The 16457-nt window shown below is 39.9% G+C and overlaps 1 non-coding gene across 1 annotated transcript; it reads right to left on the bottom strand.

Moving 5' to 3' along the window:
- Positions 1–13366: 13366 nt before the first annotated feature.
- On the bottom strand, positions 13367–13500 carry LOC124900198 (U8 small nucleolar RNA). Its single transcript, XR_007059147.1, has one exon. It is a non-coding gene; the product is annotated as a U8 small nucleolar RNA (small nucleolar RNA).
- Positions 13501–16457: the final 2957 nt, after the last annotated feature.

Here is a 16457-nt window from a genome sequence, read left to right as displayed (position 1 = left end):
ATCTTCTTTGTCTATTTTGTAATCAGGTTGTTTTCTTGCTATTGAGTTGTCTGATATATATATATTTTGGATATTCATCTCTTATCAGGTGTATGGTTTGCACATATTTTCTCCTGGGCAGTATTAAATGTGGCTTCTGTGCCAGGAGCTTTGCCTTGCAGCTACTGCTGCTGCTGCTAGTATGAGAGAGGGAGGAAAAGAGAGAGAGGAAGAAAAAAGAAAGATTGAAATCGCTTAGTGTGAGAGAATTTTCTGTACCAAGCCTGGTGCGGTTCTCTGATCGGCAGAACCTTTGCTTCGAATGTGCCCACATGGCAAGGGACTATGTAACATTTTCAGCTCCTCTAGGGGTGACTGTCCATCTTCTCCCCACATCAAAACTCAAACAGTATGGAATTCCCCATAGAAAGGGGTTCCTCAGACGCTTCTCAAAAGAAGACATTTATGTGGCCAAGAAACATGAAAAAAAGCTCAACATCACTGATGATTAGAGAAATGCAAAATGAAACCACAATGAGATACCATCTCATGCCAGTCAAAATGGTGATAATTAAGAAGTCAAGAAACAACACATGCTGGTAAGGTTATGGAGAAAAAAGAATGCTTTTACACTGTTGGTGGGAGTGTAAATTAGTTCACCCATTGTGGAATACCTTGTGGTGATTCTCAAAGACCTAGAGGCAGAAATACCATTTGACCCAGTAATCCCATTACTGAGTATATACCCAAAGGAATAGAAATCATTCTGTTATAAAGACACATGCACACGTATATTCACTGCAGAGCTATTCACAATAGCAATGATATGGAATCAACCCAAATGCTTATCAATGATAGATTGGATAAATAAAATGTGGCACATATACACCATGAAATACTATGCAGCCATAAAAAGGAACAAGATCATGTCTTTTACAGGAACATGGATGGAGCTAGAAACTGTTATCCTCAGCAAACTAATTCAATAACAGAAAACCAAACATGACATGTTCTCACTTATAAGTGGGAGCTGAATGAGGAAAGCACACTGACATTGGGTAGGGGAACAACACACACTGGGGCCTCTGGGGTGGGGGTAGGGGGAGGGAGAGCATCAGTAAGAATAGCTAATGAATGATGGACTTAATACCCAGGTGATGGGTTGATCTGTGCAGCAAACCACCATGGCGCACATTTACCTATGTCACCTGAACATCTTGTGCATGTACCCCAGAACTTAAAAGTTGAAGAAAAAAAAAAAAAGAAAGGGATTCCTATTGGGAAGCTAAGGTGAACATTAGACTCCCACTTTAGGTTAAATATGTAATATTCCCAGACAAATCTTGACACTTCCTTTCTTGCATATGTTTTTATATGAGCCCAATTCCTCATTTTTTCCTCAAGGAAGTGGAGTGCAGCCTGTGCAATTGCTAACAGCATAATGTAGTTGCCTTTTTGTGGAAGTGATACTGAGTAAAAACTGAAATCTCCTGGGGTGTTTTCTTATCCTCAATAAAAACCTTCAATATTCTTATAATTGAAGTTTGGCTTCTTAGCACTGTTAAAAATATTTTCTTATTTTAGTGCCTAGAGCTACTTGTTTTAGTTTTATGGGTTTTTTTTTTTTTTTTCGGTTATCTGGTAGAATTTCAGGATATATACCATTAAAGGTGGGTGCTGCTTTTTTTGTGACTACAGACATAATCGGGGATTCTCTCTTTGGCTGAATTTCCTTAACACCAGATAATTATGAGATCTAGAATTCTGGATATGGGTTAATTCAAATTTACCATTGTCTAGTTATTAAGGAGTCAGAATAGCATTTACTGTGTAAATCTGGGCAATTGATGTTTCTGAGTTTCCTTTTTTGATGAATGGAAGTGATTCTTCTCAGGCTGGACTCTCAGGTGTTGGGAGAGTGGCTGAGATGACCGGCAGAGGGGAGAGGTGGAATGGAGGGGGAACCCAGAATTTTCTGACTCCTGGGCTCTGCTGTGCTTTTTACCTCCAAAACCATCATCCAGAAATCAAACCATCTACACTCTTGACTTTCAGCCTTTTTAGTATTTATTGTACCTCCCCAAATTGGCCATTTTTCTGATTTTTAGAAGGATGGATAGTGTATTTTGGTGGGAAGGATGAGAAGGTTAAAAAATATTATCTAAAATTAAAATGCAATATTTTGGAGAGAGAGATCTTTGGTTTAGATCCAAGCTGTAACACTGACTGTGTGAACTTGGGCAAGATATTCAGCCTCTCTGAATTTCAGTATCTTTCTCTGCAAAGTGGGGATAATAATGCTTGTTTTGTAGCCTAAGTAAATGTTGAATCCATTCTTCTATGGAGTTTATTCATGTGCACCAACCCTATCCCCCTTGTGGTGACTTTAATATCTTTTTACAGTGCTGCTGATGGAGGATGCTGTCAATCCAGAGTCTGACAGCTTCTTGCTCCTATGTAAGTCAAATGTCATTCTTGAAATCATAATAAACTTATCAACTTTTTTTGCATAACTTGATGGGGTTATGGAATTATAACTGCTTTGGAAACATTCCAGCCTAGAAGCTATATACCAGAACAAATGAGATCCTGGCCCAGTACCTCCTCCAAGGAATTCATTCTGCTTTTGGAGACTAGCACATGTATTTGCTTTATATTATGTTTCCTAAATTATATTTATTTCTTTATTTTAGAGTAATGCAATAATTTAAAAGAAAGGAGTATCTTGGCTTATTCCCCCTCAAATACCACAGCCTTCTTCATTAGGATGTTTCATTTAAAAAATAGTATTTGTGCATTCCCTGCCAACCTTCCAAAAAATTCACTGCTGGGCAGAGGAAGGGGTTGATAAATAAAAAGTAATTTGTTCATAAAATTTATAAGCCACTGGAAATGAAGGCCCTGGAAGAAAGTGCCAACTCAGCTTTAAGTATGAGATAATAATCAAAACAGCAAATGTACAAGTGCATTATGGTAAGAATAAATCAAACGGCAAGGCTCGATGTGAACAATATGGAAAAAACAACTAAGTGAAGAAATGTCAAATGAAGGATTACCTTTACTGTGGAACTACCTATTCAAGTCATAAATTCAGCCCAGGATTTCTGCTTCCTAAAACCTAAGGACTTCTACTGAACAACGACACTGCACCCGCAGCAACCACAACAGAAACAACAAAACCCTTTGTTTTCCTGCTAGCTTCTAGCAGTTTTGTTTCAGAGAGAGAGGCTTTTTCTGTGGACTGTGTCTTTTATTGAAGATTTAACCATAAAAGCAGTGCTCCTGCAAACTCTGCTTAGGGTTGGCAGTATATATCATCAATTAGATATAAGGTTGCTTTTTTTTTTTTTTTTAAACCAGCCTTTCCATAAGAGCTTTTGTTGACTATTTCAGTCTTGTTTTCCCAAAGTAAATGTTTCATTGAGTTAGCATGACTTTATTATAATAAAAACTGTATTTTTGTCTTCTGTCCCTTGACATTTATTCCATAGAACTAGTTTTTTCCTGACCCTAATTGAAAGAAAATTTAGGGCAAATTATTGTACACCTCTGACCACTTTTAGTTAACAGTAGGTCTTGCTCTTAGCATGTCGAGGCCAGTGTAATAATACAATCAGTAATTTCATTCAATGTTAATGCTTCTTCTCTTCCCCCAGCTTGGGCCAACTAAAAGTTGGCCACTGGCACTGGGCAAAAGGAGGCTTGGTTGGCCTCTTCTCTTTTTCTCCAACGTGCATCATACCCCACTTCCCTCGTCTTCAGAATGAGGCCACCATTTGGGATCATCTTTCAGGGAGAAGGTGGGAGGGGCTCGGGAGAGAGGAGTCCAGCCGCGGAAGGCCTTGGTTGACTAGTGCTGTTGTCAGCTGGCGGCTGAACCTGGGCTGGCAGGCATTTGAAGCCGATTGTCTTGGGGGGCACTTTGGTGGGTTCTTTGGGTACTCCTACCTCTGCAGAGCTCTCACTTGTAATCCGGCACTAAATCTGTTAGTTCTGCCTTAGAAATGTCCCCCAAATCCAATCATTTTGTATCTCTCCCACCACTTCCCCTGCTCCAAGACACCCCCAACTCTATCCTGCAGGACTGTGGTGGGTTTCCATGCTTCTGCCTGTGTTCCAGGAGTCTGTTTTACATGCAGGACAGGGATCTTTTCAGCATGTAGTTCAGATCATGTTATTCCTTTGTTCCAGGTGTCTGGTGGTCTCCTGTCTCATGCAGAGCGGAACTCCCAGGCCTCTGAGGGACCACAGGCCCTACACACTGCCTTGCCCCCGCCCTACATTTATGACCTCGCCTTTCACCACTCTCACCCCCCTCACTGTCCCAGGACACTGGACACCCCGCTGCCTCAGGGCCTTCCCATTTGCTGTTCCTTCTGCCAGAATTCTTTTCGTCAGATACGTACAAGGCTTATTCCCTCACCTCGTCTAGCCTTTTTTTTTTTTTTTGTGAGACAGAGTCTTGCTCTGTTGCCCAGGCTGGAGTGCAGTGGCGTGATCTTGGCTCACTGCAACCCCCACCTCCTGGGTTCAAGCAATTCTTCCTGCCTCAGCCTCCCGAGTAGCTGGGAATACAGGTGCCCACCACCACACCAAGCTAATTTTTTTGGTGTTTTTAATAGAGACGGGGTTTTGCCATTTTGGCCAGGCTGGTCTTGAACTCCTGACCTCAGGTGATCTGCCCGCCTTGACCTCCTAAAGTGCTGGGATTACAGGAGTGAGCCATCATGCCCGGCCAAGTCTTTGTGCAAATGTCTCTGCCTTAGTAAGCTTTTCCGTGATCAATCCATTGCAAACTACAAACCCTCCCTCCCCCAGGCCTCTCTCTATTCTCCTTTCATACTTTATTTTTCTCCATAACACATTATATTTTGACCTACTCTATATTTTACTCGCATAGTGTTTTTCTCCTCCATTAGTACATACTTAATAAAGGAAGAATCTTTATCAGTTTTGTTCATTGTTGTATCCCTAGTTCTTAGAACTATGCTTGGCACCTAGTAAGTGCTCAGCAATCCTTTTGAATCAATGAATGAATGTTTACTTGATCCTATGTTATTGTAACTCACCTGCATACATAACTAGCTCTCTTTCTCAGCTCTTGAGAGTAAGGTCTAGGAACTGGTCATTTTGTGTTCCCTACATCTCTAGCTCAGTGTCTGGAACAAAATAAGTTCTCAATAAATATTTATTGAATAAATTAAAGAATGAATAAATCAGGAAAGATTGCTGGAAATGTGGAAAACAAAGAAACAGGAGTAAAGTTTCAAGGCAGATAATGTGGTTCAGATATTTCAAGGAGAGGAAACCATGGGATTTAGGTTGGGAAAGGGGGCTGGGGACCTTTGAGGAGCATGGAGTGGAGGGTGGGCCTCAAGTTGCAGTGGGTGGAGGTGACTGAACATAGATGGTAGGATGTGGAGAACTCGGTCCAGAAGAAGCATATGAGGGAATGAAATTGAATTTAGCCTGATGAGAAGATGGTTGGGGGAATACATATATACATATGTGTATATATATATATATATCAGCCTACAGGAAAACTGAAGGTGTTTGTAAGCTGAATCTTTAGTGGAGAGAGAGATTAATCAAGACAGGGGATAGATGAGGAATAAGATTTGGGAGGGGGCAGAAGGAGTGTGATCAAGCCAACAAGAGAACTGGTCCTGGGAAGCAGTATGGCTACCTCTTAGTCTGAGGTAGGAGACATTCCCTGGTCTTTGCTTGGATGGACAGGCATGGAGAGAGGGAGGGAGGGAGGGAGAGAGGAAGCCACCTACCTACTATCCATCCATTTGTCTGTGTCTTTCTACTTGTCTAGTCATTCATCCATCTGTTCACCCATCCATCTTTCTATCTATCTATTCATCTCTCTAACATTCCATTTTTCTCAGAACCCAGCCAGGTCCTTCTGATGCTCATCCTGAGAGATGCTGGGGCAGCAGGTAGTATTCTGAGGTGGGGCTTAGGTATAGATAACTTTTCTCCAGGCACTTGCAGCCCTCCATGGCAAGATGGGAGTTTTGTGTCTTTTGAATTGTCCTGCACAGTGATTTCTCTAGCCTAAAGATCACTGAGTCAGATATACACAGTGCATGATGAAAACAACAGCTTTCTAGTATTTAGAAATTAGGCTTTTCAAAGTACCTAAAAATCCAAAATCTGTCAGCTAATTATTTACTTTCACTTAGTTTTCTTTCAGACTTGGCAAGATGATTACAGGTAATTCCCACCTTTCCCTACAATATCCAGCAAAAGAATTGAGAAATGCTGCCCCTCCATCCCCCATAATTACTACTTCTATTTATGAACAATGGAAGGAAACAAAATAACAAGTAAATGGAAGAAATGAAAAAATAAATTCACTCTGACTTGACGCTCTGTCCAGTTAATGAACCCTCCAGAGGAACTGCATTAACATTGGCACCGTGTTTAATGATGGAATAACTCAATATGTGCACTCATTCAGGACATTTATAGATTATTAATTACTCACACACGGTATTCAAGTCATGATCGTAATTACCCAGAGTCTGTCTTTCCTTGCTAACCGAGCATCTTGGACCTGTTTCTTGAGTCACCCTCAGGTGCTGAAGCCCTCAGACACAGCTCCGTGACACTCAGAATCATTTTGGCAAAGCCCTCCCTTAGCCTCTGGCTTGGATTGACCTGGCAGATGCCCCATGCTAAGCGCCTGCTTTTATGTACTGATGCTCAGGGCAAAGATGTTATGATGATTATGACACCTCCTGTCATGGTCTAGTCACAGAGGGCCATGGGAAGCAGATTATAGGGACTGTTTTATTTCGGAGACTTAGGAGAGATTCTTGCTGCCCTTGCTTCTGAATCTGTGCTTAGAGACAGTTTAAAAATAATGAAGCTGTTAACCAGATCAGAGGTCTGCTGAGCAGATGGTCCAAGAGGGGCCAAGAGTCTCAGCTGATGGTAAACCAGGGTGGAGATTTGGAAACAGGAGCTTCCTTGGGGAAATGTACTTTCATTCCCAGATGTGGAGTAGTTACTTCAGTAGCAATACGGATGACTTAAAGAGGGCCCAATCTCTGACATGACTCAAGGCTCAGGTGTGTGGAGCTTTATACTGCAAGATTTATTTTCACAGTGCTGGCTGAGTTTTTGCCCCAAGCCCAGTGGCTTTGCCTGGGTATGTCTTGAGGAGCCCATTAAGATGGAGCAAGGACTTTGTCTTCATTAAAGAGAACGCAGGATCCCTCTTTCTCTCTCTCTGCAAGGTACTGGTATTAGTTTTCTGATTGTAAACATAATATATGCTGATTATAAATCACTAAAATTTTAGACATACAGTAGAAAGTCCTCTTAATTCTACCCCACAGATATAACCACTGTTATGATTTGTTGTATACTTTTCCAGTAGTTTTTCTATGCATCTATAAACACATGTATTAGCACATATGTATCTTTTTTTTAGATAAAATCATACCTACTCTTCTATAAGCTGTTTTAATTTAAAATACTTTTCAGACCTCTTTCTATGCTAATACATAGAGTTACAGTGTTTGTTCTTTCCAAGTGCTTAAGAGTATATGGTTATATGGCTCTGGCACAACTTATTTAATTCGTCATTTAGATTTAATTAAAAAAATTATAAACAATACTGCAATAAGAAATCATATATATTCATTTTTACCTACTTGCTTATTTCCCTTAGATATATTCTAGGAGTTTAACAGCTAGATCAAAAGGAATATTTATGTTTAATTAAAAAATTTTGTTGCACATTATCTAATTCATGACCTCCAAAAAGGTGAACTAGTTTGCACTTCATCAGTAGAGTATTTTTACACCTTTGCCAACTTTGAATATTATCATTCTGTTTAATCTTTGCTAATCTGAAACTGAAAAAAATATTTCATTGTTATTCTAATTTAAATTTCTTTGGCTATTAATCAGGCTAAATACTTTTTAAATATTTTTTTTTGTGGCAATTTGTATTTCTTTTGAAATTGTCCTGTTCATGATTTTTTACTTATTTGGGGGGCAAGAGGAGATTACTTGTCTTTTTAAAATACGGATTTATGGCTGGGCATGGTGGCTTATACCTGTAATCCTAGCATTTTGGGAGGCCAAGGTAGGAAGATTGCTTAAGCCCAGGAGTTCGAGGCCTGGGCAACAGGGCGAAACCCTGTCTCTACAAAAATTATGTAAATTAGCTGGACACAGTGGTGTTCCTGTAGTCCCAGCTACTCGGGAGGCTGAGTTGGGAGGATCACCTGAGTCTGGGGAGGTCGAGGTTGAGTGAGACGTGATGATGTCACTGCACTCCAGCCTGGGTGACAGAGTGAGACCCTGTCTCAAAATAAATGAATGAATAAATAAATAACACTGATTTACAATAACTCTTCATCAGATAGAGATACTAACCTTTTTACTGCTCTTTGTGTACATATTTTCTCCTCAAAATATATTTTGTTGCTGCTTTTATTTTTTTAAAACCGAAGGGTCAATAAAGTTTTACCCATTGCTTTTGGTGTTTAGGTCTCTTTACTTTCTTTTTAATAAAGAACGGCCCCTTAACTTTTTTCTCCAGATAATAGTGACTTTTTGAAGAGACTGTTACTGGCTGGGTGCAGTGGCTCACACCTGTAATCACAGCACTTTGGGAGGCCAAAGCCGGCCGGATCACCTGAGGTCAGGAGTTTGAGACCAGCCTGGCCAACATGGTGAAACCTTGTCTCTACTAAAAATACAAAAAATTATCCAGGTGTGGTGGGGCACACCTGTGGTCCTAGCTACTTGGGAGCCTGAGGCAGGAGAACCGCTTTGAACCCGGGAGGTGAAGTTTGCAGTGAGCCGAGATTGTACCACTGCACTGCAGCCTGGACGACAGAGTGAGACCCTGTCTCAAAAAAAAAAAAAAAAAAAAGATCTGTATCATATTAAAGTTTCCTTCTATTTCTAGTTTACCCATAAGTTTAACCCAGGATGGATTCAGAAATTTATCAACTGCATTTTCTGCATTTATCAAAAGACCATTTGATTTTTATTCATTAATCTAGTGAATTACATTGACATATTTTTTCTAACTACCTATCCTTGAATTCCTAAAATAAATCCTAGGTAAAGGTGTTACATTGTGCTTTTAATGTGTTGTTGGTTCTATTTGTAAATATTATATTTAGGGTGTTTCCATATATATGTATTAATAAATGAATTTGACTTTTGGTTCTTTTTTCACTTTCTCAGCTTTTGCTATCAGGGTTGCATTAGCCCTGTGAAATGAGTTCTTGAAAGCATTATATGACTTTTTAAATAAACCCAACATCTGGAAGTTTTGAGGGGAGTTGATTTCACTAATCATTTCAATTTTTTTTCGTAGTAGTAACTTAGAAAATAGTTTTTTTGGCTTTACATTATTGCCATAAGGATATAAATAGTATTATTTTATTAAAAGTAGTCTCCTCCCTATCTGTAGTTAGATGTATGTTTTCATTGCTAATGTAGCGTATGTGTTCTCAAACTTTTTTCTGTTTTGACAGATTTGTCAGACATCCCTTAATCCTTTTTTTCCCCACAAAGAACTAGCTCTTGGTTTTACTCAACAATTCTAGTTGTTTTAAACTTCCTAATTCATTGGTTTCTTTTGTTTATTTTGTTGTTCTTTTTCTAGCTTCTGAGTCTAATGCTCCAAAAATATTTATTTTAGACATTTCTTGTTTTAGGAAAAAACCTATTTAGGGATATGATTTTTTTCCTGAGTAAACTTTGGCTACTTCCCATAGAATTTTCTATTTAGTGTTTCAACATATGTTAATTTTCAAATAATTTATAAATTAAGGTTTTATTTATTCTTTGACACAGACTTATTTAGAACAATGAAGTTTTGAATTTAATTCCATTTTAATCAGTAAATGAACCCTATAAGAACTCTACCATCAGAAACTTACGGAGACATTTTTCTGTGGCCTAGTAAATGATTTCTCTTTATGTATTTTTTTTTTTTTGAGACGGAGTCTTACTCTGTTGCCCAGGCTGGAGTGCAGTGGCGTGATCTCGGCTCACTGGAAGCTCCACCTCCCAGGTTCACGCCATTCTCCTGCCTCAGCCTGCCCGGCTAATTTTTCTGTACTTTTAGTAGAGACAGAATTTCACCGTGTTAGCCAGGATGGTCTCTATCTCCTGACCTCGTGATCCACCTGCCTGGGCCTCCCAAAGTGCTGGAATTACAAGCGTGAGCCACCACACCCGGCCTCTCTTTATGTATTTTAAATGAATGTTTCATAAACATTTAAAAAGAATGTGTCTCATTTTTAGAGAGATCATAATTTGCTATGAATTCAAGCTTATAATATGTATTATTCACATCTTTTATATATTTATTTTTGTCATCTTGACACAACAAATTTATTTATTTATTTATTTATATTTTTTTTGAGACGGAGTCTCGCTCTGTCGCCCAGGCTGGAGTGCAGTGGCGGGATCTCGGCTTACTGCAAGCTCCGCCTCCCGGGTTCACGCCATTCTCCTGCCTCAGCCTCCCAAGTAGCTGGGACTACAGGCGCCCGCCACTACGCCCGGCTAATTTTTTGTATTTTTAGTAGAGACGGGGTTTCACCGTTTTAGCCGGGATGGTCTCGATCTCCTGACCTCGTGATCCGCCCGCCTCGGCCTCCCAAAATTTATTTTTTTTTTAAATTTCTTTTTCCTTTTAAAAGAGACAGGGTCTCGCTGTGTTGCCCAGGCTGGTCTTGAACTCCTGGGCTCCAGCGATCCTCCTGCCTTGGCCTCCCAAAGTGCTGGGATTATAGGTGTGAGCCACCACACCTGGCCAACTTTAAAAAAAATTTCTAACACTTCTTTTTACTTTTTGGAGAGAATATAGTAAAAAAATTGAGAGTATTGATGCTAACGCCAGGCTGCCTGGTTTGAATACCCGCTCCACCCTCATGAGTTGACAGACCTTGGACACATTTCCTTAACTGTAAAATCACATCATCTAGTTTACTGGGTTCTTGGGAGGATTATGAGTTGCTATATGCAATGACCTTGGAATTGTGCTTGACGTGTTGTCATTACTCTCCATGTATCTGCTGCCATGATATTCAGGGTGAAAATGTTCATGGTTGCTATATATTCTGATGAATCTATTGTTTATTAATATAAAACAATTTTCTTTGTCCCATATAGAGCTTTTTGCCTTGAATTCGATTTGAGGTAATATTAATATTGCTATATTGTTTTCTTTTTGTTTATATTTCCCTGCTGTCTTAGTCCCTTCAGGCTGCTACAACAAAATGCCATAAACTAGGTGGCTTATGCACAGCAGAAATTTATTTCTCACATATCTGGAGTCTGGAAATTCCAAGATCAAGGTGCTGGCAGATTCAGTGTCTGTAGATGGTCTGCTTCTCGGTTCATAGACAATGCTTTCTCACTGTGTCCTCACATGGTAGAGGTGGAAAGGGGTCTCTTTTGGCTTGCTTTTATAAGAGCCCTAACCCCATTCATGAGGGTTTCACTCTCATGCTCTAATCAACTCTGAAAGGCCCTCACCTCCTAATGCCATCATCTTGGGGGTTATGATTTTAACATATGAATTTTGGGGGGACACAAATATTCAGACTATAGCACTTGGTCTCTCTTTGGGCATCTGCATGTTTTCAACCTTTCTGCATTATTTTGTGTTACACACATCTCTTGTAAATAGCATATAGATGGACCTTGCCTTAAAAAATGAATTTGAAAGCTCTTTTAATAAGGGAATGTAACCTGTTTACAGTTGTTGAGATTATTGATATTCCTGTCATCTTTGTGTTTTCTGTTAGCTATGTTTCTAGATCTTTTGTCAAGATTGAATCATTGCCCCGTGATCTTCTTGTACTAGTAGCTCAGCTTAGATCTTTCTAGGCTGGTACGACCAGAAAGAAGTCTGCTTCTCCTGCTTCAAAGTAAGAAAAACCAGAAGCTAGCCAGGGGGCGTGGTGTCTGTGGTCACATTGTTTTTGAGGATCCTGGTACTGAATTTTCTATTAGCTATCATTCAGTGAGTCCCTAGTATAAGCCAGGTGCTTTTTTAGACTAAAAAAAATATTGCTTCATTTAACCCTCACAACAACCCCAGGAGGGAGGTATTAATATTATACTTACAAATAGGGAGGTGAATTAAAGAAATGAGAGTGTGTTCCTGAGGGATTTAAGAAGACATAATTGGTTTTTTTCAGATAGAGTCTCACTCTGTCACCCAGATTGTAGTGCAGTGGCATGATCCTGGCTCACTGCAATCTCCGCCTCCTGGGTTCTAGCGATTCTCCTGCCTCAGCCTCCCAAGTAGCTGGGACCACAGGCACCCACCACCATGCCTGGCTAATTTTTGTATTTTTAATAGAGACTGGGTTTCACCATGTTGGCCAGGCAGCTCTTAAACTTCTGACCTCAAGTGATCCACCTGCCTCAGCCTCCCAAAGTGCTGGGATTACAGGCGTGAGCCATTGTGCCCAGTCAGAAGACATAATTTGAAATGTATAAACTCATTCCCTTACCCTCCATGTATGCATGGGACATGAAGTTGGCTAAGAAGTGGGCTTCTGAGTTGACTTTTACTGAGTTTCTAAATGAATCGGTTGCCAATGCTGTTGGGAACATCAGGCCTTCTTATTCCGGTTCAATCATTTTTTTCATAGTAGCTTAAGTTTCTACTCTAAGTTGATTGTTCTGGAGTAGATAATCCAGAGTTTAGTCATTTTCTTTACTGCTAGAGTAAAAAAAAGTTTTAATTCAATGGTGTGTCCCATTAACTCAATGGTGTGTATTTAATCCTGTTGGTGTTTTTTGGGGGACTGGGTCTGGAGTTAGGGGGATCTGTGCCTTCTGGTTTCATAGAATCTGAAGAAGGGCAGGCTCATGCATTATCCATCTTTGTATCTCTTGTGCCTCGAAGAACATGTGGTCCATAGTAGGTGTTATCTCTTAAAATGACCTGAGCTCAGGGAGGGGATTTGTCTTATATTCATATTTGAATTATAAGGTTTTAGAAAGAAGCCCATAGAATATAAATCCATTATCTTAAAATTATGCTTTCTGTAACCCCTATAGTACTATGCAATAGAAATTAAGTGTGTTGCATGGACGCTGGGAGGGGAACATCACACACTGGGGCCTGTTGGGGAGTTGGGGTGCTAGGGGAGGGATAGCATTAGGAGAAATACCTAATGTAGATGACGGGGTGATGGGTGCAGGAAACCACCATGGCACATGTATACCTATGTAACAAACCTGCACGTTTTACACATGTATCCAAGAACTTAAAATATAATTTAAAAAACTTAGAAAAAAAAAGAAAAGTTGGTTGTAACCCACCCAGGGCAAGTGTTTATCAGTCTTCACTTCAATGATCTCCAATAAAATTTTCACTATTAAAAAAAAAATTAAGTGTGTTGCAAGTCCTGATTATACAGAGAGATTAATCACGTTTCATGCATCTCCAATTATCATGTTCTATCTGCCCTGCAAAGGAGAAACAGGTAAGGGTTATCCCAGCACTTTGGGAGGCTGAGGTGGGCGGATCACGAGGTCAAGAGATCGAGACCATCCTGGCCAACATGATGAAATCCCATGTCTACTAAAAATACAAAAATTAGCTGAGTGTGGTGGCGTGTACCTGTAATCCCAGCTACTCGGGAGGCTGAGGCAGGAGAATCACTTGAACCCAGGAGGTGGAGGTTGCAGTGAGCTGAGATCATGCCACTGCACTCCAGCCTGGCAACAGAGCGAGACTCTGTCTCAAAATAAAAATAAAATAAAATAAAATAAAATAAAATAAAATAAAATAAAATGAAATAAAATGAAATAAAATAATGTTTATTACTTTTTCAGAGCTTATTTTGGACTAAAGCAGCATGTGGTTTCAGTAGGAGAAGGTCTGTGTCACCATGGGAGGGTGGGATGACATTGACGTATGAATGACCGTTTGCACTGGTAATTCCAGTGAGGGCATCCAGCCAATAAAAGTGCTCCTGAGCCAGCTGCTGGGGAGACATATAGCCCTGACCTCACCAGGACTCCATATTTGAAAAAAAAAAGCCAAGTGAAAACTCCCAGCTTACATCAGGGAACTACTGCTGCAGTACTTTAATGAGATCCCTAGGTGAATCTGAGTTTTATATGGTCTGTTTGACTTCCACGGATATCTGGCTAGACTTTGATTGATTGTCAGGCTTTTTAAGTAGCATTGATTTTTACTTCTGCAACATTGGGATGATGAGGTCATTGTATTTTGCCGTGTTATTGAAGTTCTTGTTAAAGCAACCTGGAAATTATGAGCACGTCTAGGCACTGGCTTCCCACTTGCCCTAAGTTGGAGAGGTGGGAAAGTTCAGGTAAGTAAAATGATAAAGGCAAAAAAGAATTCTCTCTGATTGTAAGAGGGAATTTCAGAGTTTTAAGAATCATAATGATAACTGGTAGCTATTAATCATAGCTTATTTCTTTTTATTAGCAATCATTTGTTGAGCATGTAACTACACAGGGCAAGGACTATGTCATAAGCCCTTTGTGTACACATTAACTCTCTTTTTCCTCACTACACTTCTGTGAGGTAGGTGTTATTATCCCCACTTTATAGATGAGAAAATTGAGTCTAACACAGGTAGGCTAGCTTGCTAGAGGTTGTTTAGTCAGCGGAAGAGCTAGGTTTTAGATCAAGCTGTGCCTGACACCAAAGCCTGTGATCATAACTGCTAGTTTACTGTATGATGGTTGTGTGAATAGTTAGAGGTTTCCTTTAGGTAAGATCAGAAAGGAAAACTTGAGGCTGCTGCATTAGTGACAATCCCTCTCTCATGTATGGACCTGAGTCCTGGGGAAAACTGCAACTAACACAGTGCCCTAGGACATACCATTTAGATTTTCCCCACTTGTAGAAAGAGACCACCTGAACTTCCTTTCTACTTGAGTGAGGCCATGCCCATGAAGGGGCCAGAGAGGGCTTTGAACATTTTGAGATTCCTCCAGCTACCACCTATTGATTAGAGGCTGCCAGGAGCTTTAATCCGATTAGAGTCTGTAAAACTGGTTTCCATCTCTGGCGCCTGACTCAGGTTTCAGAGCAAGGGGAAAAAGTATGACATCACCCCTGCTTGCATCTGTGCTGGGTGGCTAATGAAATTACGTGATGGGCTTGAGGACTATTAAAGTCAATGTTGATCCTTATTATTATTAAGAGTACTTTTAAATTTACTGCACCACGAGGCAGGTTCGAAAGCATCATTTTTCAGAGGTGTATTCATTGCTCTGGATTTTAGCACACAACTCCATGGGATATGGAGAATGCTAGCAGCACAGATAATCAGTTTTGAAATCTGCAGGATGAAAGTGCATGTAGCTCCTTTGCTGAAGGGAGGAAAGATTCTGGGATTTTTCCATAATGAGGCATCAGGATGACCTTGGATTAAAAAAGCCTAAAAACAAAACATGTTTGTCAAGGAAAAGTGAAGCACTGCTGTTGCCATTAGCATCAGCAATAGTATATATTTTTTAAAGTTTAAATGCTTAGTATAAAAGAAGAAAGCTCAGTTCAGATTACCAACCATTTACTGAGTATAGAGACTGAACTGGTACCAGGAATACACTATACCAAGGGGAATAAAACTGTGTGCTTTGTTAATCAACATATCTCAAAGGCCCAGCTAAATGTCAGGCATGCAGAAATTATTCTCTCTCTCTTTAAATATACATATAAGTATACATATATATGGTGTAAAGTGCATTGATCTTAACTGTACAATTCAATGAATTTACACACACTCACAGCAACAAACACGTGCACACTGTTGAATCATCACTCAAATCAGGTGATTAGACAATTTCCCATATCTCAGAAGGCTCTTTCTTGCCCTTTTACATTTCTGCAGCAGAGATAATCACTACTTTGACTTCTACAGCGACAGACTAGTTTTGTCTATAACTAATACACTTCATATAAATTCATATAAGTTGAATCTTCGTATAAATGGAATCACATGATATTATATCTTTTGTATCTGGCTTCTTTTGCTTATCTTTTTATTATTATTATACTTTAAGTTCTTGGATACATGTGCAGAACGTGCAGGCTTGTTACATGGGTATACATGTGCCATGGTGGTTTGCTACATCTATCAGCCCATCATCTACATTAGGTACTTCGTCTAATGCTATCCCTTCCTGTGCCCTCTACCCCCTGACAGGCCCTGGTGTGTGATGTTCCCCTCCCTGTGCCCATACGTTCTCATCGTCCAACTCTCACTTATGAGTGAGAACATGCGGTGTTTGGTTTTCTGTTCCTGTGTTAGTTTGCTGAGAATGATGGTTTCTAGCTTCATCCACGTTCCTGCAAAGGACATGAACTCATTCTTTTTATGGCTGCATAGTATTCCATGGTGTATATGTGCCACATTTTCTTTATCCAGTCTATCATTGTTGGACATTTGGGTTGGTTTCAAGCCTTTGCTATTATGAATAATGCT

This window comes from Homo sapiens, chromosome 5 (genome assembly GCF_000001405.40).
Source record: "Homo sapiens chromosome 5, GRCh38.p14 Primary Assembly".
Classification (NCBI taxonomy): Eukaryota; Metazoa; Chordata; class Mammalia; order Primates; family Hominidae; genus Homo; species Homo sapiens.
The sequence above is the reverse complement of the archived record's forward strand: the minus strand, read 5'-3'. Positions and strand labels throughout refer to the sequence as shown.